Source organism: Homo sapiens, chromosome 13 (genome assembly GCF_000001405.40).
Source record: "Homo sapiens chromosome 13, GRCh38.p14 Primary Assembly".
NCBI classification, from domain to species: Eukaryota; Metazoa; Chordata; class Mammalia; order Primates; family Hominidae; genus Homo; species Homo sapiens.
Window position 1 is genome coordinate 98,212,919 of NC_000013.11, and position 13,040 is coordinate 98,225,958.

The following is a 13,040-nucleotide window of genomic DNA, read 5'->3' on the forward strand; positions in this document are numbered from 1 at the left end:
AAAGTAGTGCCTAGCCTAGCTCATTGTAGACACTGAATAATTAAGAACAGACTGTAAAACGAGAAAGGAATAAAATATGCAACAATATGCAAAATTATTCAAAAGAATAAAGTATGCAAAAAGTATTTGCATGCCTTGAGTGCTTAAAGGTGACTTTGTGAGTGAACCGATGCCTCCCTATATGTGATTCCTGTGCAGGGGATGGAGCCCCCTGCCCACCTGGGTGGGGTTCAAGGTGGCACACAGCTTGGGTGGTAGTCTCCTATTCTGATGTGTTTTTCTTTCTCACTGCTTCCTGCAGATATTCTCTAAGCCGCTTTCATCATGGGAGAAATAGAGCAGAGGCCGACCCCAGGATCACGACTGGGGGCCCCGGAAAATTCGGGGATCAGTACCTTGGAACGTGGACAGAAGCCGCCCCCAACACCTTCAGGAAAACTCGTGTCCATCAAAATCCAGATGCTGGATGACACCCAGGAGGCATTTGAAGTTCCAGTAAGTTGGGGGCTTATCTGTAACCCAGGAGTGTGGTAGGGGACAGCCTTTGGTGTGAGGAGGTTCGGCTCATTCCCATGGCCAGTGACATGAGGCGGCTGGAGGTCCTGCATGTTCAGCACCTCCCTCCCCGCCCCCCAATGGCCCCGCTGACCCGTTCTGGTTTCGAGCTCTCCAGTGTCTAGATTTATGCTTGAACCACCCACATAGTGATGTCAGTGGCCTCGGCACTTGAATTTTACTATGAACTTTCATTCAAATATATATATGTAATCTAAGTGCATATGTATATGTTATGTATATATATGTAACTGGAGGGAAGAGTGGTCTTGTGGCTGGATCCCAGTTTAATTTACTGGTCATAGACAATTCCTCTCTCACATTGGTGCTTGTGCGTGTGTGTTTGTGGCAGGGGGGCTGTCGAACTCAAGTCCCGGTTACTGGCAAGAACAGTCCCGAGAGCATCATTAAAGAGCCACGTGTGTTTTCATGTGAGGGAATCAGGAGAGCCTGTGCATGCAACCCCACAGGGCAGGTGTGGGAGTATCGAAAAGCCTCCTTCCGAGCCTGCCATATGGCAGCCCTAGAGATGGGGAGGCCCTGCCACCGCAGGGCCCTGGACAGAGCAGCCTGGGGGCCGGAGGTGTCACAGGAGGAGCCGGCAGCCTGGGCCCCTCAGCAGCTGGAGCCGTTGGAGCCGCTGGAACCTCTGGTGCTCCTCACTTCTGCTGTTCTTCTCCGAGCCCCTGCCTGGCCTCTCCCAGCCTCCTCCTCAGATCGCTCCTGCGGGAGGATGAGAAGCTGCCGCCTGCTTCGTGCAGCTGGTGCACATCTTATTCCCGGCAGGAGAGGAAGTGGGAGTGTCTGGCTGGCTAAGCAGCAGGCCCACTCCCTCTCATCGGCTCAGTCCAGAGAACTCTTAACACTCCTCGGATCTAGTATTTTGGGTTTTCTGTCTGGAGTATCAAATACCATGTCTAATATTGTTTGTGGAGGAGGAAGATAACTCTTGAATTCCAAGCAGCCAACTTACAAACAAACTCTGGGAGCACACCTGTTTTTAACATAGAGATGATCTGTGTGTCATTCCTGTTGGCTAGAGGGGCTGGAATTTAGTAGTCGGCATTAACGTTGGTAACCCATCATTTAATCACTTATGGGATATGAGTCAGCGAATTATATTTATTTCAAAGAACATTGCTCAGAGCACATGAACTAACATTAAATGTCTCAGGAAAAGATAAACTCAGAACAGCTATGCTTAAAACCACCAATTTATTGCGCACTGCAAACAACCTTTGTGTTTTCTGATTTTCTTGTGGAATTTGTATCTTTCAAGGACTTGGGACAGCTTTGTATTTTGGTGAACAAAGCTATTGCTCATCTGCTAAAATCATAGACTGTTGAGGAGAGCCCCTGCCATGCAGTTAGAATTGGGCCTCCTGGCACACGTGGTCCGTATGTGCGCCACCTCACCCACTTTTTTGTCTTTGTTGCCAGACTGGTTCAGTGAGGTGTTTCGTTTCAGTGTTTCCTGTTGAGCACTGTGAAGGACTTCTGAGCCCAGGTTTCTAGCACACACATTCTATTACACGGTGTTTCTGAGTGGGTTGGACTGTGGAACTGGCAAATGCTGCTCTTGTGTGCACTCACTCCAGGGATCGTTGGACTGTGCTCACCTGCAGTTCTTCTTGAAACCAAAGAAAGTCAAGACCCCATTCCTAGCTACTATTTAGCAGCTATCCAGGAACTCCCTGCCCAAGAAGTAGTAATAGAAATGTGTTTTTATCTTTTAAAATGATTTTTCTTCATAATTTCTGATGGCTTATGCTTTGCATTTATAAGCCCTTTGTCTGGAAGGAACCTTTCTCATGCTCTCTAATAAACTCCTGTGCATTCTTAAAAGCCCTATCAGTTTTACCTGGATGCCTACTCTCTCAAGCAGGGCTTTTTCTTCCTTCCTGCAGACCACTTTACTCATATACCTGTCAGATGCACAAGGGAGCCTGGGTTCAAATCCCAGCATCTCCTACTGAGAGTTGTGCAGCGTGAACAAGTTATTTAACCTGTCTGTATCGATAAAATGAGGCTAATAATAAACTCGACTTTATACTATATGAGAATAAAAAAAGAGGTGACACAAAGTGTTTGGAGCAATTCTTGACATGTAGTAAGAGCTTAACTAAATAGTAGTAATGACATGCACGTCCAACTGCCTGCCTGTTCTGTCTATATCCCCAGCATCTAGCATGGCACCTGGCATATAGTAGCTGCTAATTAAATGTTTGCTGACTGTTAGAGTGAGTGTGAGTTTATTTTACAAGTAGAATTAATGCCATTGTTCGTTTTCACATGTCTCCTCCATTCATATTTTTCTTTTTCTCTTTTTTTTTTTTGAGACGGAGTCTTGCTGTGTCTCTAGGCTGAAGTGCAGTGGTGCGATCTCAGCTCATTGCAAACTCCTCCACCTGGGTTTAAGCGATTCTTCTGCCTCAGCCTCCCAAGTAGCTGGTACGATAGGTGCCTGCCACCACACCCAGCCAATTTTTGTGTTTTTAGTAGAGACGGGCTTTTACCATGTTGACCAGGATGGTCTTGATCTCCTGACCTCGTGATCCGTCCGCCTTGGCCTCCCAAAGTGCTGGGATTACAGGTGGGAGCCATCACACCTGGCCATATTTTAATTTTTCTAGTTTGGTCAGAATCTTTCTCTTAACCTCTGGGAAACAGATGTATTCCTTAACTGGCTGTAGAAAGTCACATATCAGCATTTTTATTGGTGGAGCTGATTCTGAGTCAGTACCTCATGCTGTTTAAGAGCAGCCACGGCCAGGCCAGCAGCAGCTGAAAGGCATGGGGGCTGGCTGTGATGGCCCAGTCATCAGGGATTGGGAGGAAGGTGACTACAGGGTTGTGAGAGACTCAGCTCCCCAGTCTTGCTTTAAAACCTTGCTGTGAAACTTTTTGCTGGGAATTCAAGGCCAAGTGTCTGACCCTGGAAACGTCCTTTGATGGAGTGCCCCAAGTGAATGACTTCTCATGGCTCAGTCACATTTGCCACGCAGCTGAGCTGGGCACGTGGCCAGAAGTCCCTGCAGTTTCCTTTGGGGATGACTGGTGTCTTTCCCTGGGGGTTGAATTTCCTGGGCCTTTGCTTATTAATTTTATTTTAAAATACGGAATTATAGGCAAAGCAGTCATTTAAAATGCAAATCCCCTAAACACTTCCTGGAACAAAGAACCACACCATCTTCTCCATGGTGTCTCCGTCCTTCTTTGTACCCTAAAAAAATTATTATTAAAGAGATCTACCTTTTGGGAGGCTTTGGCAGTTAGCTCCACGATCTTTTCCATTCTGTAGCTGTTTCCACAAGCACCTCTGTGGTTGAACTTGGACTGTCTTTTTAGGTATTTCCTCTGCAGAGTGGAAAGTTCAAGCGCAGTATTTATAGTAAATTCTTGCATGGTGTTTTTTCATCTTTATGTGGAAAACACCGTGCAAATAAGCTTCAGCCTGTGGTTTATGATATATGCAGCTTTCTCTTCCAACCAGAGGTTATGAAACAGAGTGACTCTTGGGCATCTGAAAGGGTTAATAAGGTGCCCCTATGCCCGCCCAGGCCATTTCCCTGATGGTTCCTGGGAAGGTTTTCTGTGTCCCCTCCTCGTGACCCGGCGGGTAAACAAACACAGTTCCCACTGACATTAGTAGGATGAAGCAGATGGTTTCCTCTCCAAGTGTTTATTCAGTTTATGTATTTTCATTAGCAGTGTTTCTATAGGAAGAGCAGAGGAAATAAGACACAGCCATTTTTATTTTTTATTTTTATTTTTATTTTTTGCTTCTTTTGAGCAGCCCTGGTAAAAAAAAATGCTTGGGGAAGATGCTCACAGGTGACAAAAAAGACACCTAGTGCCTGTCGAAGGGTTAGAAGGAGTGGTGGCCAGTTGCAGGCGGGTGGACGATGGCAGAAGCCCAGAAGCCCCCCAGGAGAGCAGGGGCAGGAGTTAGTTGCTGCAGAGGGAACTCGGCGTCTACGACCGTCGTCGCAGGAAATGATCCTTGTAACTTTCTCGTGTTGCTGTCTTGTCACTGCTGTACTCGAGCTTTTGTAGCTCCTGAGACTTAAGTAGCATTCATCCTTTGCCTGAGGATCAAGTGTGGGCTTCGTAGCTCGGGGAGCCTGGGAGAGAGCAATGAGCCTCCATGGAGGGGCCCTGTACACCGGGAGGTGCCTGGGCAACTCCCATGGCTCATCTCAACCACAGTCCTCGGCGGTTTGTTTTCTGCATTAGCTTCTCATGCCAGAACACCCTCTTATTTGTTTACCTGCTTAGTGTTGGCCTCTTGCAGGTAGAGTGGCCACTCCTTGGAGGGCAAGGCCTCTTGTTCTTGTTCGTCATCATATCCTACGCCGCAGCGGTGCCTGTGCATGAAACTGACTGGTGACAGTTCTGCTCGGTCGTTTAACTATACGAGAGTTGGTGCTGTCCTAGCATAACAAGGGAAAGAGCAAGTGGGAAGAGCTTCTGAGTCCCTTCCTCGTGTTTTCACAGCGTGAAGGTGGGGCTGGGATTGGAGTCCGGCCCGCCAGACCCTCAACTTACCCATCTTCTGGGCACTAAGAGCCGCCTCCTTTGTGAGATTCGCGGACTTCCTCTGCCTCCTACTCCCACAGAGGTGGTCCCTGTTCAGCTTGGCCCGGCCCTCCCCCACCCCACATCCTCGCCCCACATCCTCACCCCATGCTGCCCTGTTCTTACCTCTTTCTAAACACCCACGCCATCCTCACCCCGAACACATTGATCAAAATCCCACCAACTGCCAGGCCTCTCCCAGGCTTGTGCTCCAGGCCAGCCTTCTCTCCTGACAGTGCTGATAGCTCACCTCCAATCAGACCTTGAATCATGGTCTCTAATCTTGCCCCTCGCACTCATTATTCCTGGTGCAGTGACTCAGTTTTTTAATCTGCAAAATTAGGCACTGGGGCCTGATGATGTTAAAGGCTACCCCCAACCCCTTTCCTTCTTTGGAAGTGAGGACCCTGTGTTGACATGCTCCTTGACAAATTAACTTTTTGTGACTGTATTTGTGAATTCTCCAGACAGATGGTAAAATCTTTGAGGAAAGAGGTTTTTAATCTTAGAGCAAACCTTGAGGCCCCCAAAGCCTGATTAGACACAGTGGGTACCGTGTGTCTACTGTTAAAGAAAGCTATGTGATGAGAGTGAAGAAGCATGCCACGATTTATATGTCCCATGCCAGTTGCGGGCCGCAGGAAATGTTGTGATTGGCCTTATGTGCGTGTGGGGTGGCTGTTTTCATAAAACTCACTGCACTCCATGCTGCACTCCAGGCTGAACTCTATGCTGTTTGACCATGGGAAATGGAAGACGGAAAGAAATATTTTCTTGATAATACATTATTAGTAGAAAATTCAAGTTTAAGTTGAAATCAGAGAAGACCTAAAGTTTTTGAGAAAAGTAATGAGTTTGTATGTCATAAAAGACCACGTAGGTTCTTTTCTGGTGTCAGAATCGCCTGTGCTATCTTGGAGACCTAATTAGGAGTGTTACAAATTCAGTCCCATACATGATTAAACATTGATTTCATTTCATTATTATACCTTTTGAAATGTAACAGTTCTTTCATTCCTTTAATTTTCACTGAAACCTAGGTTTGAGATCAATAGGGAGCTTATTCTCTGAGAGCTCTGGTTCAGAGTAAGGTGTCCACTGGTGACAGATTCTAGAGCTGGCTCCATAAGCTCCATCTCAGAAAAAGGGACGGAGCCGAAGTTTGTCTTTTCAGAAAGCTCAGGGTTTCCTCTTTGTGGCCCTGCAGTTGACATCAGGAGCTGGGCTTGTGCTCATTGGTAGCAACTGTGCCTTTATGGAAGTGTGTTCATTTTCTCTGTCTTTGTCTATATTTATTTATTAAAAAGTCTTTTTTTTTTTTGAGACAAGATCTTGCTCTGTCACCCAGGTTGGAGTGCAGTGGCATGATCATAGCTCACTGCAGCCTCAAACTCCTGCCTTAGCCTCCCTAGTAGCTGGGACTACAGGTGCATGCCACCACACCGGGCTAATTTATTTTTATTTTTATTTGTAGAGATGAGGTCTTGCTATGTTGTCCAGTCTGGAACTCCTGGTCAAGCAGTCCTCCCGTTTGGCCTCCCAAAGTATTGGGATGACGGGCATGAGCCACTGCACCCAGCCACATATTTTTTATTTCTAATGAATTTTGTTTCCCAATTTATTTTCATTTTTTGAGACAGAGTCTTCTCTGTCACCCAGGCTGGAGTGCAGTGGAGCAATCTTGGCTCACTGCCGCCTTGACCTTCTGGGCTCAGCGGGCCTCCCACCACAGTCCCCCCTAGTTGCTGAGACTACAGGCACGCATCACCACACCTAGCTATTTTTTTTTTACTTTTTGTAGAGACAGGGGTCTCGCTATGTTGCCCAGGCTGGTCTCAAACTCCTGGACTGAAGTGATCCTCCTGCATTGGCCTCCTAAAGCGCTGTGATTGCAGGCATGAGCTACTGTGCCCAGCCTGTTTTCCTTCTTAATTTCTCTTTCAGCCATCTTAGGGAATGTGCCCTTTTTGGTAAGCTGAAGAAAGTATTTTTTTTTTTTCTTTTTCTTTTTCTCCCCGCAAAGAGGTGAAATACACATTTAACTAAAGGTCTTGAGGGGGCGGGGTCTATCTCTTCTGTAAGTGTAGCGGTTCCGACTCTCCTGGAATGGAGTCCCTCCCTGACAGTGGGGTTGTCCCTCCAGTGGTCTGATTGTACTGATAATGGAAGGAAGGTGTTTAGATCCCAGGACTACTTAATTTTCTTCTTTTGCCCCAAATGCTTCACACATAAGAGGTGGAGGTGGTGGAGGAGGAGGAGGATAGACCCAAATAAAATTTAATTGGCCCTTTCAGACCTGCAGGGAGGTGTGTGTGCCCAGAACTGCTTTTGCCGCCGCTTAAGCAGCTGGGCTTTGAACTAGAGCAAGCAGAGGGAACTTAGCATGTTCACCCAGCTTTAAAAAATAAGTCAGCGTTTCTTTTTTCTTATCACTGTTTCTTTTGGCTCCTTTTATTTGCAAAGTTTCTGAAACAGAATTTAAGGCTACTTTGCTTGGCATGGTCATTTCTGTGTTTTATTTAACTTTGATAAATGGTGCTTGTCTGAGTGTAGCCCCATGAGATTAAATTTAAAGGCTATTTTGGCTATTTTAATAGAGGAAAAAAATTTTTTTCATAAATCATTTTAGCTAAATACTGTTAGCTTTCCTTTCTGGCGTCTCAGGAGCAAAGAGTAGAATTTAAGAGCTGGCTTGAAATGTTTGTGTGCACCCCTTTCAGCTGTAGTTAAGACCCTTGTGATCAAAGTCAGTTCTCTAGCTCTGATATGCTTGCAGTAATTCTTTAACAGCTGTTTGCTATTTTATCCCTGAAAAAAAAAACCAGTATAACCTAATTAAAAGAATAAACTAATTGAGAATGTCTGAATCTGACTTTAAAATGGGCCATGATCTGAGAAAATGGAGGAAGTTTGAAAAGCTGCTTTTTTTCTCTTTTAAGTGGAAACAATATTCTCAATGATAAGAAACGGAGGGGTTAAAGGGGAAGTGCAGGCCCTGGGTCTGGGCCGCCTCGCTTCCTACCTATGTGGCGCTGCATGAGTGGCTGCCCATTCTCATCTCTACACATGGAGAATACCGACCACTTGAGGCCCAGGTGAGGCTCTAATGAGATCTTCTGCAAAAACACCTTGCAGAGAACACAGATTTGGTTCTCATGAAAGTAGGTTGTCTTCCTTCCTTTCACCCTGAACTTTAGTTTCCTTCTTGTTCTTTCACGGAATTGAGGCTCTGCTTTCAATGTAGAGCTGTTGGCTGGATCAATGGGAGAAAAGAAAGCGAATGAAAGCACTTAAGAATAAAAAATCATGTGCTTCTGTCAGATGGAGTCATTCCTCTTAGACCACAGCTGCCTGTGTAGTCTCACATCAAACTGGGGCTTTCTTTGGAGGGGAATCATTACCTAAGCCAAAGCTGTGTCCCAAGGGGCCTTTTGGAAGGTCTATAAGAACCAAGCACCACTTGGACAATTGCCGTGAAACCTCCATTTCTGCCAAGCTCGTTTACTGCGTTTTTGTGGACTTACGTGCAGCTTCTGTGAGCTTCAGTTTAATCAACTTGAAAATTGAGGGGGTTGCACTTTGCGCTCAGAAATTTTACGTGCATTTTTGCTTTCCTGATTTCTTGATCTCCTCTATTTTCTTAGCTTCAAAACTTTTCCATTTTCCTAGAGTCAGGATGTTCCTGGGTGAATCATGTGTCCCTCTACCATGGACTGGATGAATGGTTTTAAGGTAGACATAGGATTTCAAGATCCTCTAGGGTAGGTCTTCTCAATATGGGCTCTGTGGGTTCATTTGAAGGAAGTGCTCAGTCAGCTGGATGCTCTTGTGTTAGAATGTAAATATAAAAACATTGCACATATTAAATGGACTGATTTTAAAAAACTATCTGCCATGTTTGAATGTTCAATTATTTGCTGTCTTCTATCACTTTGAGCATTTGAGCTGGAGGTAATGATTTTAACTCATAAGACAGACACAGAATGACTTAGTTTGGGATTTCTCTTCTGTAGATAGAATGATCATGTAAAAGAGCAGTTCTCAAAGCTGTTAGCACTTTGTAACTTTGAAGGAGAGCCTCATAGGTCTCTGTTTCCTCATTTATACAAACAGGAAGTTGGACCAGATACCCACAGTGGAATTCTGTGGCTCTGGTTTTATTTTATGGAATGTGGTCTTGGAAACATGATACGGGTTTCACAAATGTGTATCAACATGGAAGGCAAGGTGCTACTGGTGATAAGAAAATGAATAAAAACAATAACTACCCTCTGAAAAATCCCTTGCTGTGTGCCAGACATTGTGCCAAGTCTGCCCGTACATTATCTCATTTGTTGCTAAGTGAACCTGTGAGGCAGGTGAGAATAACACCGATTAGTCTCACAGGGCATAAGTGACTTGGCGCGGGTCAGAGTGCTGGAGAGAAGGAGCTGGAGTCCCAGCCCAGGACCACATACACCTAAGCCTGTGTGTCACTCACTTTGTTAATGGTCTGGGGCCATAAAGAGCCGTTAGGATAATACAACATGTTGGCTGTGCTAGTGCCTGTGACAGGTGCCAGTGGAGGGTGCTTTTTTTTTTTGTTTTTTGAGACGGAGTCTTGCTCTGTTGCTAGGCTGGAGTGCAGTGGAATGATCTCCGCTCACTGCAACCTCCGCCTCCCGGGTTCAAGTGATTCTCCTGCCTCAGCCTCCCCAGTAGGTAGGACTAGGACTGCAGGCGTGCACCACCATGCCCAGCTAATTTTTTTTTTTTTTTTTTTTTTAAGTAGACATGGGGTTTCACCATGTTGGCCAGGATGGTCTTGGTCTCTTGACCTCGCAACCCGGCTGCCTTGGCCTCCTAAAGTGCTGAGATTACAGACATGAGCCACCGTGCCTGGCCGGAAGGTGCTCTTAAGTGGGCAGGATGGGTTGAAGAGGGCGGAGTCTGCAGAAGGAAAGCCCAGTGACCAGGGTTTTGGCAATATCATCTCCACATGGTAGTTACTGATAAGGGCCAGGGCCCTGCAGAAGCAATGTCAGGGGACTGACAGATACAGGAGAAACCCAGGACGTAGACCTGACAGGGCGTGGCAGCTGATGGGACAGAAGCAGGGAGCCCCCCAGGAGTGGGAGAGCACCTGCAGTCATCAGTTTTACAGCCTGGATGGCTCAGTGCTGTCACCAAGGGCTGAGAAGTCAACTCTGTGACAAATGTTTTACTTGAAATAATGTCTTCCTTCAGTTGACATGAAAGGAACATTGGTAGTGTTGCCAAAAGAAGGCATTTCTTTTTGTTTGTTTGTTTGTTTGAGACAGAGTCTTGCTCTGTCACCAGGCTGGAGTGCAGTGGCACGATATTGGCTCACTGCAACCTCCGCCTCCGGGGTTCAAGTGATTCTCTTGCCTCAGTCCCCCGACAGCTGGGACTACGGGCACCCGCCACCATGCCCGGCTAATTTTTGTATTTTTTAGGAGAGATGGAGTTTCACCATATTGTCCAGGCTGGTCTCGAACTCCTGATCTCAGGTGATCCACCCGCCTCGGCCTCCCAAAGTCCTGGAATTACAGGTGTGAGCCACAGCGCCTGGCCATAGAAGACATTGCTTTGTTTTTTATCACAAAGAATCTGTGGCTCTGGAAATTAACTTCCAGGATTCTTAGTGATTATGTAAATGGTACAAACTGGAAGTAACAAATGGAAGTTGATTGCTTGGTTTCAATTTATGTTAGGAAAGTTATTTTTACTTCTTGCATTCCAATTTCCTCATCTCCCCAGAAGCTACTCTGTTAAGCTTGCCACACCTGGGTGCCCACCAAGCTGGAAAAGCATTTAGATCCAGTGTTTTCAAAGGACTCTGTTCAAAAGCATTAGAAAGGAGCAGGTCAGTTGCTTTCTTCAGCTCATTGTTTAGTTTTGATGTAATTTGCCTGTGACATGAACTATAAAATGCAATTGGCTATTATCCCATCTTCCAGTGGCCATTTGTCAGTGAGTATTTCTGCCAGCAAACAGAACTCAGGTGCTCCATTTCCTTTGATCTAGGCATAAGACTGAGTGTGTAAAGCATTGCAGAGCAAGACCAGAGGGCATTTGTGGAGTTGTTAGGTTATCACAACAATACCTTTTTTCATGTTTGAAAGCTGAATTACTTTCCCAGGGCAGCCATAACAAAGTACTACAAACCCGTGGCTTAAAAAATAGGCAGTTACGGCCAGGCGTGGTGGCTCATGCCTGTAATCCCAGCACTTTGGGAGGCCGAGGCAGGTGGATCACGAGGTCAGGAGATCAAGACCATCCTGGCTAACATGGTGAAACCCCGTCTCTACTAAAAATACAAAAAATTAGCTGGGCGTGGTGGCGAGTGCCTGTAGTCCCAGCTACTCGGGAGGCTGAGGCAGGAGAATGGCGTGAACCCCAGAGGCGGAGCTTGCAGTGAGCCAAGATCGTGCCACTGCACTCCAGCCTGGGCGACAGAGTGAGACTCTGTCTCAAAAAAAAAAAAAAAAAAAGAAAAAAAAAAAGAAAACACAAAACAATAGGTAGTTACTATCTTACAGTGCTGGAGGGGCAGGTGAAACAGAGCTGAGTCCCTATCTTCTTGACTACCCATCCCTTGCCAGGGACTCCCATTTGCTGACCCCAACCAGAAGCCCCAGAGTAAGAGAGCTGAGGTGAGCAGTTTGTGGAGCTGGGCCTGCAGGCAGGCAGTGAGAGAAGAGCCAGGGCACCCTCTGTGGTTGGAGGCGACCATGACTTCTGCCTCACAGAGAACATGAAGGCTGTGAGGCGTGGGCTGCTTCCACCCCTGCCTCGCTAACCTCAGGCTCTCTTCCTCTGCCTTGGCTTCCATTCCTGCATTCTCTGGCCACGGGATCCTTTTTACCTCCCGACTGATCCTTCATCCCTTCACCTACAGGACATGGCTTCACATGGCAGGCATCAATAAGAATACCTTTCATTCACACTTCAGTCCTGGGATTCACAGACATGCTCTGAATTTCTAGACGGTCTTAGCAGTAGAATTCAAATGATGAAGAAAGAGACTGCTTTGTGTAGTAGTCACAGCATAAGTTGAATATAAGAGCTGAAAAAACCTCAGATGTTACTATTAACCATCTTATCTCTTAGCCTGATCATTTTTGTAAGGACGAAGATGACATATTTTATTAGAGCTGTTAAACGGGACGTCTGGTTTCGTGATCCAGTGCCGAGAACAACTCTTTTCCTTTTATTGACTTGATTTCAGTTGCATTTCACAGCTCATTGCACCCAAGTAGATTTCTCCACGATGATCAGACCTCCTGTGTGTCGCCCACAGGACTGAGCTGCTTGGACTCGCACCATTCCTCTGATCATGCCCTGGGGTTTATTACGATCTCACCCATTATTCCCATCACACGAGGAGAACTCTCGCTCCAAGTACAACAGTACGAGTGTTTGCTAACTGTGGACTCTGCACTCCCTCATGAAACCAAGAGTGTTTCTTCTTCGTTTCCCTTCCTTTCCATTTTAAGGACCATTTCTCTAAGGCAGACTTTCCCGTCAGGACCCTCCCCTGCCTTGTGTCTCTTTTGAAGCTCCTGAAAGGCCCGTGGCCATCTTAGAAAAATAAAGTTCTGATTTTCTCCAGAAAACTGGTTCAGCAGAAACCAAGACACTGCCAACAGCCCTCCGGCGTCCTGCCAACCGGGCTGTTAGAGTCTTTATGTGGGTAGGTACAAGTTGCCTTGCTTAGCTTCCAAACTTATTTTTGCCCTCTTGTCTGGCTCCTAAAATGCTGGATCCAGGGGCCTGGAGAGTTGGTTTTGTCTCTGGTTATTGTTTAGTGGCACACAAGGTACTGACTGAAAACAAGGGCGTTTTTGTACATCCCTTTTACCCACATGCACTCTTGGGGAGGTCAGTGATGGTTGGAAGTCCCT

General features: G+C 46.3%; 1 protein-coding gene across 3 annotated transcripts in view; it reads left to right on the forward strand.

Annotated features, from left to right (window-relative positions):
* The window catches only part of FARP1 (FERM, ARH/RhoGEF and pleckstrin domain protein 1), a 312,588-nt gene that overhangs the window by 70,330 nt on the left and 229,218 nt on the right, over positions 1 to 13,040 (forward strand). For all 3 annotated transcript variants that reach the window (NM_001286839.2, NM_005766.4, NM_001001715.4), the window contains exon 2: positions 302 to 495. In NM_001286839.2, coding sequence (NP_001273768.1) covers positions 325 to 495 — 171 coding nt within the window. In that variant the 5' untranslated portion in view covers positions 302 to 324. The remainder of the gene's footprint in view (positions 1 to 301; positions 496 to 13,040) is intronic.